The 20,606-nt window shown below is 31.7% G+C and overlaps 1 long non-coding RNA gene across 1 annotated transcript in view; it reads left to right on the plus strand.

Annotated features, from left to right (window-relative positions):
• Positions 1-18,515, plus strand: part of LOC105375931 (uncharacterized) — a 190,238-nt gene extending 171,723 nt beyond the window's left edge. The window contains exon 4 of the long non-coding RNA XR_929115.3: positions 18,092-18,515. This is a non-coding gene — a long non-coding RNA (uncharacterized LOC105375931). The remainder of the gene's footprint in view (positions 1-18,091) is intronic.
• Positions 18,516-20,606: the final 2,091 nt, after the last annotated feature.

The raw sequence follows: 20,606 nt of genomic DNA on the forward strand, positions 1-20,606 counted from the left end.
GCTGATTGTTAGAAAGAGCCTGGCATTTTCGTTCTCTCTCTTGTTTCTTCTCTCACCATGTGATCTGTGTACATGCTGGGTCCCTTTCACTTTCCCTCATGAGTAGAAGCAGCATGAATCCCTCACCAGAAGTGTGTGCTGGTGCCATGCTTCTTGTACAGCCTGCAGAATCCTAAGCCAAATAAACATTTTTTCTTTGTAACTTACCTAATCTCAGGTATTCCTTTGTAGAAATCCTAAACAGACTAAGAAGTAAGACAATCCTTTTGCCATTGAATTGCTTTTATAACTGTGTCATAAACCTGTTGACTCTATACGTGTGGGTCTATATGTGGAACTCTCCTTTTCCATTAACATATTTATCATTCACCAACTTCACACAACTCTGATTACTTTTAGTGAGCCTCGATTTGGAGCACAGAGTCTCTTAACTTCAACCCATCAAAACTGTCTGGCTATTCAAATATTCTTGCCAGTTCTAATACTTCTGCCTTTCCATATAATGTCCAGAAAAATGTTATTGATAAAATATTTATTGATGAAAAGCCTGCTAGTATGTTGATAGAAATTTTACTGAATCTATAGATCAAATTAGAATGAATTGATATTTTAGCAATAGTTGAATATTTCTCTAATCCATAAACATGGTATATCTCTGTATTAAACTGGGTTTTATTTGATTACTTTTATCAGTGTTTTGCAGTTTTCAGCATGCAGATCCTACCTTGATATTGGTAGGGTTACATCTAGGAATTTCAAAATTTTAGTGCTATTATAAATGGTACAGTTTTTTAAAAAAAATTAAATTATAGTTATTCACTGCTGGTATATAGAAATATAATTGCTTTTTATATATTGACATTTATTATATAACCATGCTAAATTAAGTCATGTGAGATTGTAAATTCTTTAGTATTTTCTGTATAGACAATTATGTCACCTGCAAATATTGTTGTTTTAAAATTTTTTCTTTTCAGTCTTCTTGTATTTTTAAATAGTCAATTTTTTAAATGATTTTCTGTGTTTATTGAATACTATTCACATTTTCTCTTTAGTTCATGTGAATTATATAGATTGACTTTTGAATGTTGAACTAGCCATGCATTCTTAAGAAGAACTTCTCTCATTTTCTTGGTCCATTCTCCTTTTTTCATTTTATTATATCCAATTTTCTAATACGTTTTTGAAGATGTTTGCATATATGTTAATGAGGGATGGTTGTCCGTGTTTTTTGTCTTGTAATGTCTATTCCTGGATTTGGTATTTGGCTAATGCCAGCCCTATACAGTATGTGGGGAAGTGTTCTCTCCTTCTATATTTTTGGAAGACAATGTATAGAATTGACTCTCTTTTCTAAAATATGTGAGAGATTTAATCAGCAAAACCTTCTGGGCCTGGAGCTATCTTTGTTGCACAGTTTTAAGCTATGGATTACATCTCTTTAATATATTTAGTACTATTAAGATTATTAATTTTTTCCTGAGTTAGTATTGATAGTTTAAAGAAGTACTCTATCTGAAGTGTAAAAATTATTAGAAGAAAGTTGTTTGTTTCATTCCCTTATTATCCAGTTAATATTTGTGGTGTCTATAATGATGTTCCATTTTTTATGATGATTCTGGTAATGTGTATCTTTCCTCTTTTTTACTTGTCAATCAGGCTAGATGTTTAACAATTTTATTGACCTTTTATTGGAACCAGTTTTGGGTTTAGTAATGCAGCCTATTGTTATTCTGTTTTCAATTTCATTGGTTTCTGCCCTTATCTTTATCATTCCCTTCCTCTTATTTTATTTAAGATTAATTTGCTCTTATTTTTCTAGTTTTTAAAATATATCATTTGATTACAATTTGAGATTTTTCTTTTATCCCCAAATTTTACTTTATGCTATAAATGTACATTTACATTTTGCTTTAGCTGTGTCCTTCATATTTTGATATGCTATATTTTTATTTTTACATGAATCAAAATAATTTCTAATTTTCCATGAGACCCTCTGAGTTATAGGTATAAATACATGTCTTTTACTTTTAAAATATTTGGAATTTCCAAAATACCTTTCTGATATTGATTTCTAGTGTAATTCTGTAGTGGTGAACTGAAGGACATAGTTTGTATGAATTATTTTAATTTGTTAATTCAGGCTTTACAGCTCAGAATAGGATATATCTTGACTGTATATTGTTCACTTTTAGAAAAAATATGTATTCCTTTTTTTTGGTTATAGTGTTCTATATATGTCAATTAGGTTGATAATGTTCAGATCTTCTATACCTTTGCTGATTTTCTACTTGTTTCACCAATTACTGAGAGAAGAATGTTGAAGCATCCAATTATATGTGGATTTTCCTATTCCTCTTTTTAGTTCTAGGAGTGTTCTTCCTATACTTTGAAGCTCTGTTTTCAGATGCACACACTTTACAATTATGAGAATGAACTATTTTATCATTATACAATGTCCCTCTTTATTCCTGTTACTACCACTTGTTCTAAAGTCTACCGTATCTCATGTTAATATAACGACTCCAGCTTATTTTTACTAGTGTTTGCATATGTATGAATGTGTGTGTTTATATCCATGTATATGCATATATATTCTATTATTTTACTGTTATATATAGCTTTGGCATAATTTGGTTTAATTTCTTCATGAGTAACAAAAACACTAATGTCATAAGGTTTTGGTGATACTCAAATAAGATAATCTACATAAAGTTATTAGTTCAGTGCTTGGCATATAGAAAGTATTTATTTAATATTGCTAATATTACAGTGTTATCCTCCAATATTTGAAAATGTAACCTATGTATCAGTTGACATTAGTTATCTTAAAATTATTTATTGTGAAACATCTTGAAGAGCTTATTACTTTAAAGGCATCTTTAGCTTCAGTATCCTAAGTTTTCTGATTATTTTTCTTCTGTCTGTCCTTTATTGTGATCTGATATTATTCCAAATCTCAGACCAAATCTTCCTTACTTCCAGCTTAATTTCCCCTTTATTTCTGCCTTCGCCTAATACTTAAAGAACTACATACAAATGGCTTTCAAGTATTAGAATTTTATATTCTCATTAAGTGTTTGCCTTATTGAAATCTTTCTGAACACCTTATTCTCAGAGATTTTTCACAGAATAAGCTGCTACAAAAAGTACTCTATTCATCTATAGCAACTTACTCTTTTTCTATCTTGATCTTCTTCATTATGTTATTATATTCCTTATGAATTACAAGTTTATTATGTATTTTGCAGTTGTTCTCTTAGAACTGTCCACAAATAACATGAACACCCCATATTTCATATATTTCATATGTATATCCTTGCTACTCAAATTGAAAACAAACAAGCAAACAAATTACTCTCTTAGTCACACAAACTATTAAGAGTCATACTAAGCTTATAGGAAGGACGGTGACTTGGCCATACAGTGTTTTAATCTAATTTTCATATGTTTGTTTATTATCAATAATTTGATATCTTAATTTTCAAATTTGTCTTTAGAGGTCAAATGGAGATAGACGTCTACAAAAATTCTGCTAATCGCTTATTCAGAACTAAACACATTTAGATAAGATTTTAATTTGAGAATTTTCTCTCCCTACTTGCATTTAAACTAATACCAATTAGCTCTTGTGCAGATTGAAAAAAAAGAGAATTCAAATAATGTATTATTCCTGTGAGTTGAATTGAATAATAAGTTACTTTTAGTCTTTTCCGTAAATCTAATTGATAATATATTTGAAAATTAACTAAATGTATCTGCCATAGTGTGTTGGAGTGTTGGTGGGTATTGGGAAGTTGATTCCTCTCAACTTATATATACTCACAAGAGATTCCCATGCTGGTTCCATTCATGCCAATTACTTATCTATGAATTAGAGAATTAGTTGGAAAATTAGAGATTGCCTCTCATGCCAAAATTTGAAATGCATTTAATAGTAAATATAAATCCTAACATAATGTATATGCTTTTCCAGATAATACTTTCTTAGGGCAATAATTGAGATGTTCATTGGCTATCATTTTGTCTTAACTGTTAGGTTTAACTTTTCTTATCTTGAGACACTGCAGACAAAAAAACAAAAGAGTAAATATGCATGCCTGTATGGTCTTGTGTTTATCAGCGTTTGTTCTCCAGTGAACTGCAGGTGCAGAGATGAGTAATTTAATTTGCAGGAGAAGTATGAGGAAGCTTATGTCAAAAGATGCAATTTTCAAGTAATTGCCATGTTACTAACAGTGTGAAAACAGTTACAGTAACTATGTGTTTATTCCTTTCCAAAGTTAACATTATATTTGTTTTCTTATTAGCTTTTCTTATTTAGTTCTCTTGAGTCAAAGGGATTCCAATTGTGTTATCATGTGAATGGAACATAATACGGCAATTCATTTTCATTAAACTCAACTTAGAGGATGGCTTATGGAGCCTAGCAACAAGGAATAAAGGAAGAATTAGCCAGAAGCATTTTTGTTTCTGAATTTTCTGAGCCAAGTAGTCATGTCATTTCACTCTGGGGAAAACCAATAATTTATTCAATTTTTCCAATCAGAATCACTTGGTGCTTAAAAGACAAACTTGGTGCTTAAACTAAACTTGAAAGGCATTATGTAGGAAAAGGAAACATAACTAAGACAATATACATTTTAGAAGAAATATTATTTTTAGTAATAGGTTAGTCAATGTGCAGCCGTAACTCCCAAAAATGTCTACAAGAAAGGTAAGTTTTTTAGTGCACAAACAATGCAGATGGCTTACATTATCATGTTAATATTGTGTTCTTGGCAGACATCCAATACTTTCTTTTTCCTTTAATATTTAGGTTGAAAATTTGCAAAAATAAAAACAAATCATTATTTTGATTCTGGAACTCACATCATTTAACTTTTTTCTCTTTAAATATGCTTACTTCCTAATTAGTCTTCTGGCTCTTAACCTTAATATTGTAGTTTATTATAAAAAAAAGAAGCTCCCAGAGTAATCTTTAAAAATGAAATTTGATCATATGACTCCTCAGCTCAAAGACACTTAAAAGGCTTCCCATCACCTGAGGAATAAAACTCCAAACTTGACCAAGCCAGAACACCCAGACCTGATCCTTGTTTACCTCTCTGATATCTGATCAAATTATTTTCCACTTGGCTCACATCACTTAATTACCTTTCTTTTTGTTATTCATACATGCATGCCACAGAATTATGTCTTTCTGATTGCTTTCCCTCTTAGAAATTTCTTCTCTTATGTCTTGGAATAATTATTTCCTACCAAATGTGACCCAGTATATAAATCAACTCAGGAAACACCTTCTTCCACTCAGGTACTATGTATCATGTTACTGCTTTATTTTTTAACAGTACTTATCACAGTACCAGCAGATGTTATTTTACTTATTTATTTTCTTCTTCCCTTCATTGCAATGTAAGCTGTAGAGAATTAATGAACCAGGAAGAGAAAATATTACATAAACCTGAGTCAGAGCACCTGTTGGTTCAGTACTTATGGAAGATAATGGGCCCAAAAAGCAAGTGAGCTCAGCCCTAGAATAATTACATACTTAATTAATGCCTTCACCAATACGTATGAAGAAGTCACATAAATACAGATAATTGAGAAAAAAAGAGTAATTCACCTGGTTAGAAAATATACAAAGACTTTGAAAGTTATTGGAAGTAAGATGACCAACATTAATGTTTCTATAGATTGAATATCTACTCTTTGTGAGATGTTCAAAGCCTCATAGTCATCAGAGTGTACTCACATTTTGTGAATGATATATGTCAGGTCAAATTATGAAAACATACTTGAGGGAAATGTGGCCTGGATATATTGACTGATTTCAGGTTATAGAGAAATACATTAAAGTAATGGGCCTGTGATCACTTCTCTCTAGATTATGAGAGTGGGAAATGTCCACAGAGAAGGAATGGTAGATTATGGTCTAAACTTCTAGTAAATACACTGATAACTGACCTCCTGGTAGGTAGATTAACAATATTTTCTAGAAGGTAGGTTCTTATTTATGGAATATTCTCAGCACAAAGTTAGTAGTTTAAAATATTTTATGGTTCACAAACGTAAGTTCCATAGATTTATGGGGCATGTCTCCCAGGACCCCAGGAATGTCTAGAAATCTGAGTGACAATCTGAGATATAAAATAGAGACATTTAATAACCTAAATGCTCCCCACTTTGTGAGATGATTCCAAAACTTCCCTTAGAGAATCCATCTGTTACTCTGGGTCACTGCAGGTGAGTGATGAGTAAAGGAAGGATCCACATAGGATGTCCCGGATTTCCCTTTCTCTGCCTGGCTTCCTTGGTTACTTGTGTCCTCAAATTTATTAGTAAAATTTGACACAAGGTGGGATCTCTGTGAGTTTGATTTGATCATGTCACCAGCTGTGCTAGTTTAACCTTCTACACAGATCATTCTTATTGTAGTACTCTTGTCTAGGTAGAGCCTTGACAAAAAGGATCTCTGTATGTTCATGTAACCATGTTTAGTACCAGTTGATAACATTTCAACTGAATGTTACCTTTCATACTCTGTACATGCAGTCAGAGTAAATTAACATGCAGTTACAAATGAAAACATTAATACATATTAAATTTTATGTACATCGTTGGGGTTTTAAATGAATTGTGTTGTTACAAAATTATTTGAAGTAGGGATTATTAGTTCCATTATAAAGGTGAATTAAGTGAAGTTCAGTTAACTTACTGGAGCCAAATAAAAAAGGCTAGAAGTGTAAATCAGTCACACTTTATTTTAAAATCTATTCTCAAAAGGCAATTTTACATGGATGATTCATTCCCTGAGTAAATAAAGGCAAAGTAATTTTATTCATAAAGTTAAGGTTCATAGATGTTACAGCTTTATCAATTGGCAAATTTTATGTAATTATATTTTATGGTCTGTGTAGCTAAAACATGGTGGAATAAATCAAATCAGTTCAATCCACTCTATCTCTTATTGTTATAAAATCACATATAAATAGTGAAAGAATTTTAGAAGTGTTAGTAAAAGACCCTTAATATATCAATAAGCAAAACTTTAAATATCTTCAGTTTGGTGTTGGATACATATGACCATTTTCTCACTCAGGTCCATGTCCTGGTAATAGAAGATGAGGAAGAATATTTATGTGTGACAGAAAGCTTGAAGTTTGGCTAAATTTAAAAAAAATAATAATAGTTAAGACCTTTAAACTTTTATTTTAGGTTTTGGGGTACATGTGAATGTTACATAGATCAACTCATGCCATGGTGGTTTGCTGTACAGATTATTTCATCGCTCAGTTATTAAGCCTAGTACCCAATATTTACTTTTTGTGCTCCTCTCCCTCTTCTTTCCCTTTGACCTCAAGTGTGCCCCAGTGTCTGTTTTTCCCTTCTATGTGTTCATGAGGTCTCATCATTCAGCTCCTACTTCTAAGTGAGAACATGCAGTATTTGGTTTTCTGTTCCTGCATTAGTTTGCTAAGGAAAATAGCCTCAATATGTGTACTTTAAAGAGCTAAATGAACAAATCTCAACTATTTTATGTAATAGTTACAAAATTCTCATAGCCCTTCACAAATATCCAGAATTATTAGAATAGAAAAATAATTTATATAAATTCAAAGATACTGAAAATTTTGTTTGAATTAGAATGAACTGTTTCTCCATCTCAGCTCATATAAATTTTGATTAACATACACTGTTCTGTTCTAGGTGAATAAAAACTAAAATATTTGCATCGACACTAAATGGAGCAAATAGCAGAAAACTCTTTTTAAAAGATTAAAAAATAATGTTTTGCTTCTTGCTGGACTTATTGGCAACAAGAATAATAACATGGAAAAATTATTTATCTTCATAGGGAAAGTCTCAGGCAGAAGTGCTCTGTTCTAAAAAATATTTGAAGATGTTTTCCAAGTAATGTATTTTTCTCAAATTATACAGCCAAAGTCTTAATTCTTTATTTTCTCTTCATAGATATAGACCTTTGGCGTGTTCTTCTTCCCCTGGGGATTCTCATACTTCTATGTACTCCTTTGTACTTAATTCTGTTAATACTGGAGCTTATGACACAGTGCTTATCTATGCAGAACCATGAGTAACATGAATATGGCCTAGAGAAAGGGTAAAATTGAGTTAAGACTTCATGAAAGCCACATTAATGTTACATGAAATAAATATTGGCTGACTTGGCTCCTTATTGACTTAAGTTTTTGATAGTAAATTCTCTGTCTGCAAAAATGTGCTACAAAAATGTGTGTGTATTTCAGAACATAATATAGTTTAGAAAAATGAAAGCTGAACTGGAACCTAATTTCATTTTTTTTACTACTTTAAATTTGTTTTAATTAGGTAAATTGAAATTGTGAAACTCAAAGAAAAATGTGTAATGCTAACCTAAGACAAAACGTACTGTCTGTAAGAAATGAAATAATTTTACTACTAAACCTGCAATTATTTTTTTAAATACTAAATTATTGCTATTTTTTAGGAAGGAAAAGAAAAATGTTCTGTGTTCTTACAGTCACAAATATTTTTCTTTTCTGTATGAAGAATACTGAGTACAGTAGGTATCCCTTATGTTTTAAGTTTTATAAAATGAGTATTACTCAGAACTTTAAATCACAGCATAATGGTAATTTTGTCATTAAAATATTTACCTCTAAGAGAAACTTGAATTAAAATGTTACTTAGGCTTTCAATTTCGCTTATAATCAAGGGTAGTTTAAATTATCACTTTATCAAAGTTCTCTTATATTATTTAGATAAATTTATATACCATAAATATATTGTAAATCCTATGCATTTGTGATCATTTGTCTAAACAACTATAATGTAAATAACGAAGTCATAAGTGTGCTTTTTTTTTTTTTTTGAGATGGAGTCTCGCACTGTCCCCCAGGCTGGAGTGTAGTGGCACAGTCTTGGCTCACTGCAACCTCCACCTCCTGGGTTCAAGCGATTCTCCTGCCTCAGCCTCCTGAGTAGCTGTGATCACAGGTGTGCACCACCATGCCTGGCTAATTTTTTTATTTTTAGTTGAGGCAGGGTTTCACCATGTTGGTCAGGCTGGCCTTAAAGTTCTGGCCTCATGATCTGCCCGCCTCAGCCTCCCAAAGTGCTGGGATTACAGGCGTGAGCCACCATGCCCGGCCAAGTGTGCATTTTTATTTCGGGAAACTATTGATTGCTAAATGCAGGCCACATATCTCAGAACAGAAGTAGATACTTAGAATTGTGATTTCAAGTTGCCTAGAACACTTTTCATAAATTATAAGCCTTCTGTTTCCTTGTTTGTCTTTTGGTATACAAAATTTGCCTAAAGCAAGGGTTGAGTTCCAGAACTCTTAGAATTTCTGATTCTTTGTATTTTCCAGTTGCTGAATTTTATCAGCTATTTTTCTGGCAGTATAGAAGAATTTGAGCAATCGTAGCTGAATCTTTAGTGTTTGTTTTTATTGAAGAAAAACGTTTTTCTTCAATGAAAATCAAATAACTACTCATACTGACTAGAGAACTAATACCTATTTCTTAAAACTAATCCAATGCCATAAAACTTTATATTTCATTTAATAAGCATATATTGTGTTATTATGAATGTAACATTTATAGACATTGTGGGAAAGTTAAAGACTTATAAGGAAAATGTACTCATGTTCGAAGAATGTAGAAACTAGTTAAGCAGAAATAGGTAAATATGAATCTTTTTAAATTTTTGTTTGTTTTGTTTTAAAGATGAGGTCTTGCTATGTTGTCTAGATGAGATTGATAAGGGGTCAATACCCAAAGTATATAAGAAACTCAACTCAATAGTAAGAATACAAATATACCTATTAAAACATTGGCAAATGATCTGAAAAGACACTGGCCAAACTAAGACACCCAAATGGCCAACAGGTACATGAAAATATGCTTAGCATCATAATCATTAAGGAAATGCAAATTAAAACCACAATGAGATATCACCTCACACCCATTATAATGGCTTTTTATCAAAAAGACGAAACATTACAAGTGTTGGAGATATTGTGGAGAAAAGGCAACTCTCATACATTGTAGTGGGAATGTAAATTTGTATAAAACCGTTATAAAAATAGTATGGACATTCCTCGAAAATTTGAAAATAGAACCATTATCTGATCCAGCAATCTCGCTACTGAGTTTATGCCTGAAGAAATGAAATCAGCATGTCAAAGAGTGTCTGCACTCTCATTTTCATTACAGTATTTTTCATAACAGCCAAGACAAGATAGTAAATCAGCTGAGTGTCTGTCAACGAATGAATGGAAAAGAAAATGTGTTTATATACACAATGGAAGACCACTGAGGCTTGAAAAGGAGGAGATCCTGTCATTTGGAACAATATGGATGAATTCACATTATGCTAAGTGAAATAACCTAGGCACTGAAAAGACGAATACTGCATGATCTCACTTATATGTAGGAATAAAAAAGAAGTTGATCTCACAGAAGTAGAGCGTATAATGATAGTTACCCAAGGCAGGGGGTTAGGAGCTGGGGAAGGAATGTACAGTTGCTGATGAAAGGAAGTAAAGTTTCAGATACACAGGAAGAATAGGTTTTCAGATCTATATATAATAATGTACATTTCAAAATAAGAGAGTAAATTTCACATGTCTCACCATAAATAAATAGGATTTGAGATAAAGAATATGCTAATTAGCTTGATTTAGTCATGCCACATTGTGTAAATACATCAAAATATCACATTGTACCCCACAAATTATATACTTGTTAATAAATTAATAATAAGAAGAAAAAATTAGGAAGGGAGAGATTTGTACTTTTATATTTCAGGCTTTAACATGGGAAGTAGATTTCATTTAGAAAATTAAACAATAGTAACTGAATAATTGAATTGAGTTGATGACATTTACACCTCTAGTTTTTTACATAGCTGGCATTTTACCTGGAGTTACTAGATTGTAGTTGACTCACTGTATATCCCAGTTTGGACACTGTATATTCCATGTTGGACAATATAAGTTGGCATAATTTAAGATAGACAATGAAGTCAAGCATAAAACTTGGGGGAATAGGATCATTTTTGTTAATTTATTTATTATTTCTCATGAACCAGTCTTACGTACTTCTGGAAGTGATAGTAGAATACCAATAAGTATTAGGTCCTTTTCAATTATCTACATTAAAGTTTTCTTAAAAATAGATGAATTTGTCTAAAAATTATTTTCTTGTTTCCAACAGGAACAAATTCAAACGCAATCTCATGGTAGAGCCTACAGACCAAGTATATTAAAAGCCTTTTTAAACAAAACTTAATCATAAGATACTTTTTCACATAAGTTTCTTTATGAATTTATATGCTCAATACCCTGAAACCATTTTTTTATAATTGTGTTTGGGAAGAGATACTATAAATATTTCATTTATAACCCTTTATACTATACACATAGAATGAATACTTTGTTATAAAATCATGAGAAACATAAAAAGACATAATGCAGAAAATTAAAAGCCCATATGTGTTTTGTATATTCAATTAAAAATTATAGTAGTTTTACTTATTTTAACAAAGATATGTTATATAGCATATCATGCTTTGTTCTTTGAATGTTATTTTGTAACCATAATTTATTTGTATTAATGGTATTTGAATACATGATTTAATAGCCACATAAAGGTTTACAATATATTTGCACAATATTATAATTTATTTTACCATTCTTCTGGTGTGTGATACTTTGCTAGTTTTCAACTTTTTAAAATAATAAATAATGTCTTAGAAAAACCGCTTTGTACATTAATCATTGGCTATTTGTTTTATAATTTCTTTCATTTATCACCTTTTCATTAATATACACATATAATCTCATGATTCTAAATTTCAAACTTTCTTGTTTTCATTGCTTAATGAAACAGTCTAGTTTGTCAAATAGTAAATGAATATCTGTCTCTCTCTCTAGCTATCTTTCCCCAGTATAGTTATCTCTTTAATTCTTGTCAAAACAAACTTGGGCAATGAAATGCAAGTGGACCAAGTGGTCATGGCTTTTTAATATTTATGATATATTAGAACATAGAGTTGAATTTATTCAGTTTTAAAGTTTTATTTTTTAATCAGAATGTTTAATTAATTTTCACACAAGATAAGGAATAATATGGTTGGAAGTCTCCCATCTTGGCATTTGTTTTCTATCTGTACCATCAGTTTGTTTTTGCTGTGGTTATTGTATAATGGTCTGTCTTCCCTGTCTTTTCCTGGTGAATTAATGTTTTTCACATTATTTTCAACTATTTTATTTAATGTGAAATAGAACCTTTTGTACTCTTGTTAATTTCTTTGGAATTTTCAATATGACTATGAATTATCCATTATTCCTTTACACTATATTACTTCACACATACACACACATGCACACATACATACACACACTGACACACCCCCACACCACCACCACAATATATACTTTATGACAGCCTCCATGTCAGCTTTCATCAGTTTATTTGTATGTTAATTGTCAGCCATCCCTTGTGATCACTGCACTAAATTTTACATCTATGAATTATAAATTTACCCTCATGCTAACTGAAATATAATTTTGCTCTTTCTTTTTCATCATAACGTATATTTAGCAACATCTAAAGTGTTAATATTTCTGTGCTGAAGATGGCAAAATTCTTGAATAGACAGAGGAAAGAAAGTTGCCAAAAGAATTAAGCCATGATTTTACATTCATGTAATACAGCTTGATGTACTTTGGTTCATCTTACCATCTCTGAAGGAAACTTCGTGGTCAGAGAGATCTGTAAATATGATTCCTAGGGCTTCTGTCATTGGTCTACCCTCACTACAGAGAGAGGTAGAGTTGGTCCTGCCTGAATCCCATGAAATTATTTTCCATTGAGAGAGCAGCCTTCTGTTTACAGAAGAAGGTGAGGAACAAGTGATGGGCAGATGAATCTCACAGATAAGTTCCATACTTGGTGAATGTAAAATCAGAAAAAAGTGGTAACAGCCATATCCATCTTCTTGGAGTATTCTAATCAAAACATGCTTTTGCACATTTACTCTTCTCTCAAATTTGCTCTTGCTGGTCTAAAATCCCTTTCTCCAAATTTGTGGATTAATCAGGTCTATTTTCTTATTTTCAATAAAACACTGATTCTAATTTTCACCTGGATGAATTTCTTCACCCTGAAATCTAGTGTTATCCAAAATCAGGGACATCAGATAACTATATATGTTATGTGAGATAAAAATTAGGTTGTGCCTTTATATCTATTTGTATTAGAAATATATCATGCATCTCTAATTGGTCATCATGATTATTCTCTTTCCAGGCATTTAACTTGATTTGAAGTTTCATTTTAAAAATGTGTAAACAGTAGAGATACACTCAAATATAGCAAATATTATAGTGTAATAACTCACTAATGATGGATATTATGAATTACTCCCTGGTCTAATAAATGTAATATTCCTCTGTGCTTCCAAATCATTTATTACTCTAATATAATTTCTCTCCAATGAATTGTAGGTTCCTTAAAACTGATACAGTATTTAATTAAGTTTATTCACAATTCCTGCTACATCATAGGCTTTCAATAGTGTTTGTTGAATAAATAAATGAATAATGAATGCACTAATGAATGAATTATATCTACGATCAAGTCAATTCAGTGCAATTGACACACTATATGTCCCCACACATTATATTATTTAAGATTAACTTTCTCAATTTTTTTCTGTAATCACTGTAAATTCAGCCATGGTTTTGATTGCCAGAGAGTTTTAAATATTGGGTAGTAGAGCATGAAAATGCCTAAATAACTGCCTTTGAATCTGGAAGAATAGTGTGTTTTTGAGCAGAAATGATAAAAGATGTCAAATGAATGTCTAGGACTAATATTTATTAGATATTCTGGGTGTTTTATTCACTACCTCTGTGCTTGAATAAATCTTTAGTTTTGGCAATGAAGTCAGTAATTTTGTTTTTTAACTAAGTAAAATTATGGAACTGTCATTTTATGTGGTACATTTTGTTTAACTGACCCTACTGCTGTCAAGTTACTTTAACACACCAAAGGTTTTGCTTCTCAAAATTAAGCTTCACACATAGTTCCTCTCTCTATTTATAGAAAATTGATATTTATTAAGTATGAATAATAAGATTTGACAAGTTCCCAAACTTTCACAGGTCTATACATGTTTATTAAGATGTTGTCTACTTTTGAACAAACATTTTTTCCTCAACACCATGCTTCAATATAAAAAAGCTATTTCTTACTAAGGTAACCACCATCTACTCTTTTATACACTATATACACTTTATTAGATTTTATGCCATAAAATTACAGTCCTTTTTTTGACCCAAACACAGATACACAAAGCGATATATACTCTCACCTGGTTACCTCTTCGTCACTCCTCTTCCTATACCTGAAGATTTGACATAAATATAAAGTGCAGATTTAAAGTGTTTTTTTAGGCCGGGCGCAGTGGCTCACGCCAGTTATCCCAACACTTTGGGAAGCTGAGGTGGGTGGATCACCTGAGGTCAGGAGTTGGAAACCAGCCTGGCCAACATAGTAAAACCCCGTCTCTACCAAAAATAAAAATAAAAAAACTAGTCGGGTTCGTGGTGCATGCCTGTAATCACAACTACTCGGGAGGCTGAGGCAGGAGAATTACTTGAACCCAGGAGGTGGAGGTTTCAGCTAGCCAAGATTGCACCACTGCACTCCAGCCTGGGTGACAGAGTGAGATCTGTCTCAAAAAAAGTGACTTTTTGTTTTCTAATTTATTATTTTTATTTTTAAATATTTTATTTTATTTAAAGTCCTGGAATACATGTGCAGAAATTCCATTTTTTGTTTATTTTAATCAAATATATGCAATTTGTATCATGAAAAGTTCATAGAGAAAATAATAGCTAAATAACTTCAGTGGTTTAATTTTCCAACTAACTGTTAATTTCCTTTTTTTAATAAAAGAGAAAATTAAGTTAATTTCATGTAACTGCTGTCTTTTACAACACATTTAATAATCCTTATTTTTTATTATTATTAAAATGAGACAAAATACAGACATCTTGTGGCAGTTATTTGGTATGTAATTAGTAAATAACTATAGGTTACTCAAGTTATAAAATTATAAACAATATTTTATATTAAATTATACATGTGCATTTAAACATATATAACATTTTATATTAATTATTATATATTAATATTCAGTATTATGTGCAGTATATAAAATTATAAGACATTTAACTGATAAAATATTGGATATCTAATTAGAATATAAAACAAAAGTAAAGTTTGAAAATCTGGTTATTCAAAAAATTCTCAGGTACCCACACCCTAATGGAATTATATTTATTATCGTTTTGGTTTTCCAGTGTTTGACACCCTTTCTGTATTGAGAACATTTCCTATCCTTGTTAGGAAAGGGAACTCCCTTGCCAAATACAAGTGTTGAAATTGTCAGATACTTACTTTCCTATCGTTTCTTGTACATGGAGCACAGCACATAACCTGGTCTCAGCCTACAAAATACATCCTCCATAGTAGTGGCTGGTGATGCAAAGAACAATGTAGAAATATTCACTCTGAAAAAAGGCAGTACCAGTTATGCAACATCTGAATTTCAAACCGCAGGGGCATTACATTCTCCAGTGGCCTGTGCTCACAGTGTTGGCAACCATGACAGTGCCTAGATTTCAGCAGAGATAGCAGTAATGACTTCAAGGGACAGATTCAGGGTGCCATTGTGGCTAAAACTCTGGCTGGCCTGCATCTGACTTGGGTTCTTCAATTATAACATACCTGAATTCCTTTTTCTTTTCATTAGCCAGAATCTACTTCCTGCAGTTGTAACTAAGAATCCAAAATTTATAGTCAACAAGACCACATGTATTCAATGGATAGAGTCTAATTTCATACTAATTTGGAGACTGTACTTCATTTTCCTTTGATATACACTTGATGTAATGCCTACGCTACCTATTTACATATATCAGTTGTTTGTCTTTGTTTTCACTAAAGCTCTTTCTTTATGGCAAATCACATCAATACTTTCAAAATTACATTGTAAAACTCACAGTTACATAATGTATGTTCATATTTCCATGCATATCTTTGGACTTTTTAACTATCTATAATCAAATTTTCAGTAAGTAGAAACAAAAAAGGCATAGCAACATGCTTAGATTATAATTTTCCCTCAAAATACTTGGTACGATCCACTGTGATAAATTTATATGCCTTTTTTTGTTGTTGTTCTTGAAGAGACAATGTATCCTGTCGTTGGCAAGTTAGAAGAGGATATGGAAAAGGCAACTACCAAATCAATTGTTGTTGATTTTCAGATTTAGAAAGTAGCTTTTAAAATAAGCATACTTTAAAATAATTTGTTTTTATGTTAAAAGTTAGTAATCTCAAAGACCTAATGTTAAGCATTTTTATATTAAGCAAAAATGTTGGTTATAATTTTAAAAACATCAAACCAACCAAAACAAGTTGAGAAATTATTTCAGCAACTAATTTTGTCCCTCAACCAGCATATTCCCTATATAAATTAAAGATATTTCAAGATTAGTAAACAAAGTCATTTAAAATAAACCATGTATTTTATAAAATATGGGGAAGCAGCAATGTAAATTGACTAAAGGGAGAAAATATGCTTCCTAGCACAACATACAAAGTCACCTGGAAAATATGAAGCTACTTGAGATTTCTGCTGGGCATGTGCTCTATCCATTCCTGCCTTCCTTTGCCTTCACTTTAGCAGTAAGCTGCTTGTTGCAGAGATTTTCTATTTCCCTTTCTAGTAAACTCCCTCCTTTCTCCGCCCTACTCTGTACCCTGAGAAGCTGACTTACAAAGATTTCATAAATCAAGTCCTTTGCCTTCTTTCTTCCAACTGGTTTGACCAGTGAAAAATACTAGCAGTAGTTCAAGTGAGCAAGAAGATGAAGTCATGGTGCATATTCCACCACTTCCTCCCTGTAAGTTCACATTAGATGGCTTCATTCCTCTCCTGAAGGCCACAGCTCTTGTTTGGTTGGTACCTCAATTGCTGCCCTTTTGGGCTTTGGTAACTGCTCTGTCTCCTTGTCTTCTGAGGTTTAAGGTAAAAAGAGTTTCTGGCTATTTCCATCTCTGAGGTCCTCTAATATCATTATCCAGTTGCCCTTAACTAGCTTTGTAAATAGACTCTCAAATTACTAATTTGAATGTGTTATATAATTATTGCCAAGACTCTATCTGATATAACACTATTGATGCCTAGGCAAATGTCTTACCATTTATTTATGTTGGAAAAAAAGAACAGTTGAGATCCATTTCTGTATAGATTTAGGTAATTCAATCTAATGTACTTCATATAGCATTACTGTTTTTAGCATTATTTTATCATTGTTAAAAAATTAGAAAGCTTTAATTTACTTTAAATTAATTCATAAATATGTAATTCCAGTGAGAATTATAATACCAAATGCTTTGTCCCCCAACCAGCATATTCCCTATATAAATAGATCCACACAAGAAGTCAGATGATCATCAGGTGTCAGATTTGCCAACAGGGAGTAAGAGGGCATTAGTTATCCACCGTAAATAATAACCAAATATTAAAATTGGTAGAATCTGAAGTGAACCAAAATTTATGAAGATTAATTTCCTGTTAACTAAGTAAATATAATGAGTGATAAAGGCAAGATTATAGAATTTTTGTGAGGAACTGTGAGAACATTTTCTCTCTCTTATTTCCTAGGCCTGCTGAAACACTAAGTATTATTCTTTCATTTTCTCTTCTTATTTGTTGATGTATGGACTTCCCAGCTTCAGAAATAATTGAGAAGAAATATTTAAAAAATTAGCACTATGTTCCCCTGCTAGAGCAGGTAGTTCTGAGGCATACTATTTTTTTAGAAGAGAAAAATTTGTTTCATATGTGTATGTATATAAATATATACATACACATACATATATATACACAGATATATATATAAGAATCTTTTACATAGTCTTATGGACATTATACATATTCTTACCTACATTATTTTATTAATGATTGTTTTATTGGCCCAATTCATTTTATATTCGTTAACAGAAATCATAAATCGGACAGTTTCTTCAAGTGGCTCTTTTGAACATCTCGTGAAAGTAACACTACCTAACTGAAGCAAGAAAACAGTATTTATGGGAATGGTCATGGATAGCTCACGGTAACAGTGGATTATGAAAAATAAGACCTTCAGAAGAACAGAAACAAAAGAATCTCTAGTTATTTAAGAAGCAGAAACTTGAACACATTTTCCCAAGTACATTGGCATAAAAATTGTCTGATGATGCTAATACAAGATCCGACTACCTCTTACGCTAAAGTGGCACAGCTTATGATAACAATTCAGCCGATTACATCCTACCACTCTGCTTTTGGTGAAGGAAGACTGTGCTTTCCCATGGGTGATTATCCCACCATAATTTCAAGGGTGAGGAAGGGGCAGTTTCCCCAAATCATGCAATGCTGGAGAAACAAAAAAATTAAGGGTTCACAAAAATAAATCTGCTAATTTTAGAAAAAGAATGCCTCTTTTTAGTAATGATAAACATTTCACAGGATATCTTTTACGTTTTCTAATGTATCAATTTTTGTTTCCTAAAGAATAGCAATTGACTGATTTTTAAGGAGATATTTCACATAATTGGAAAAGTCACATCTGTTACTACCATGTTTGATTTTCATATCTGATTATCAGCATATATGTTCATATTGGATTTTATGATAGGTTAAGATAGATGGAAGACAAACAGATAAAAAAATATTTTTCAATGGAACTTTCAAAATGATTTATGTTTCAATAAATTTCAAAAACAGATTTTTTTTCAAATTTGGCAAAGAGTATAAAATAGAACCTACGTTAATGGAGCCCTCATGCAGATTTCCTAAAGTTTATAATAATAACATTTGATTAATTACCTGAAGTAATCACTCTATGTGTGTCAAGAAAAAAATGTAATTGTTATGACAATCTTATGAAGAAAGCACAATTATAATTTTCTTTTATATAGGAGATAACTGAGGCACAGAAAATGTAAATAAATTCCCCAGAATCCAGAGATGATACATCACATTCCCCAGTCTGCATTGTTCTTAACTACCTCCACCTATACTGCCGTTCTCTTGGACAAACGTTATTAACATAAGCATCTGTTGACTAAATGCTAAAAATTTTAAGTTGAAACTTAGGTAAGCAGGAGACAAATATTGCTGTTATTTTACTTCAACATACATATTCTTTGATATCTATATTTTACTTAAATCCTATTCATAATTATCAGTAGTAGTGACATGGGTAATAGTAGTGTGGTCATAGCGAGACAGATTAAGAGTAATCGTGATAGTAATAGCAGTGGTCATAATAAAAATAATGATGCTTACTGGTAGTACTAATAGTATTAGTGATAATTTCAAAAACACCAATCAGGCTGATGCTGCATTAAGTACTTTATATACACTAAGATTTCAGAGTTTAATTTTATTTCATGTGTAGATGGCTATGATGATATTAATGGGCTATCTCACATCTCTGGGACTGTGGGTGTACAACCTCATTGACTCTGTTGCTGGTTTTCTTTCATTGTTGCACAAGCTAGCAGCTTTTGTTCATTTGATAGATGGGCAGATTCCAGGAGAGGGAGGCTAGGTATGAAGCTGGCAAGTGCTTCTGCCATGTTGTTTTGGCCAAAGGATGGTCATAAAAACAGCCCAAATATAAGAAGAGAGGAAGTGGATTTTAACTGATTGGTAATTACTGAAAAGTCAGATTGCCGGAGCCATGATTATTGAGACAAAAATAGCTGTGAGCATTTTTTGTTCTCTAGTATACTCTGTCTTTAAGGTCTGAGCATGCACTGTCCAATATGGTGGTCTAAGCCATATGTGGCTGTTTATTGTAAGTAAATAAAATTAAAATTTAGTCACACAAACCTTATGTTAAGTGATCAATGACTACATATGGCTAGTGGCTACTTTACTGGACAAAATAAATCATAGAATTTTTCTAGCATCTCAGCAAGTTCTATTGAAGAGTTCCATATAACAAGATACAACTATAATTGATGTGTGTTTCTTCTGAGCTGAGGCTTTTAAGTGGTTTGCCCCTCACGTAGCCATCTGCTGATTGAAGACATTTAATAGAGCTAAGCTGAGACCAAAATTGCCCAGCTGAGCCCAACCTAAAGGCAAATCCAAGGAATTATAAATTTAATAGATGCCTTTTATTTGAAACCACAGTTTGGGCATTGTTTGTTTTGCAGTAAAAACTAATTAATTCACATTCTTGAACCTAATTTCAGTAGACGGTTGGGAAATACAATCCAGAAGTTTGATATGAGAAGAAGAAATGGATTTTTGTGAACAGTTTTCAGTCTGCTATCTTATAGTAGGCACTAATGTAATCCTTTATGTTATTCATGTTGGTTTTTTAAATTCACTAATCCCAACAAATATGCTATAACTTAGATATTATTAACTATAATTTATGCATGATAAAAGTGTGACTGAGATGCTTTAATTTATTAAAAGATGTCAATTTATTTGGCAAAGATTTTATAGTTAGCCA

The sequence above is a fragment of the Homo sapiens genome, chromosome 8 (genome assembly GCF_000001405.40).
Source record: "Homo sapiens chromosome 8, GRCh38.p14 Primary Assembly".
NCBI classification, from domain to species: domain Eukaryota; kingdom Metazoa; phylum Chordata; class Mammalia; order Primates; family Hominidae; genus Homo; species Homo sapiens.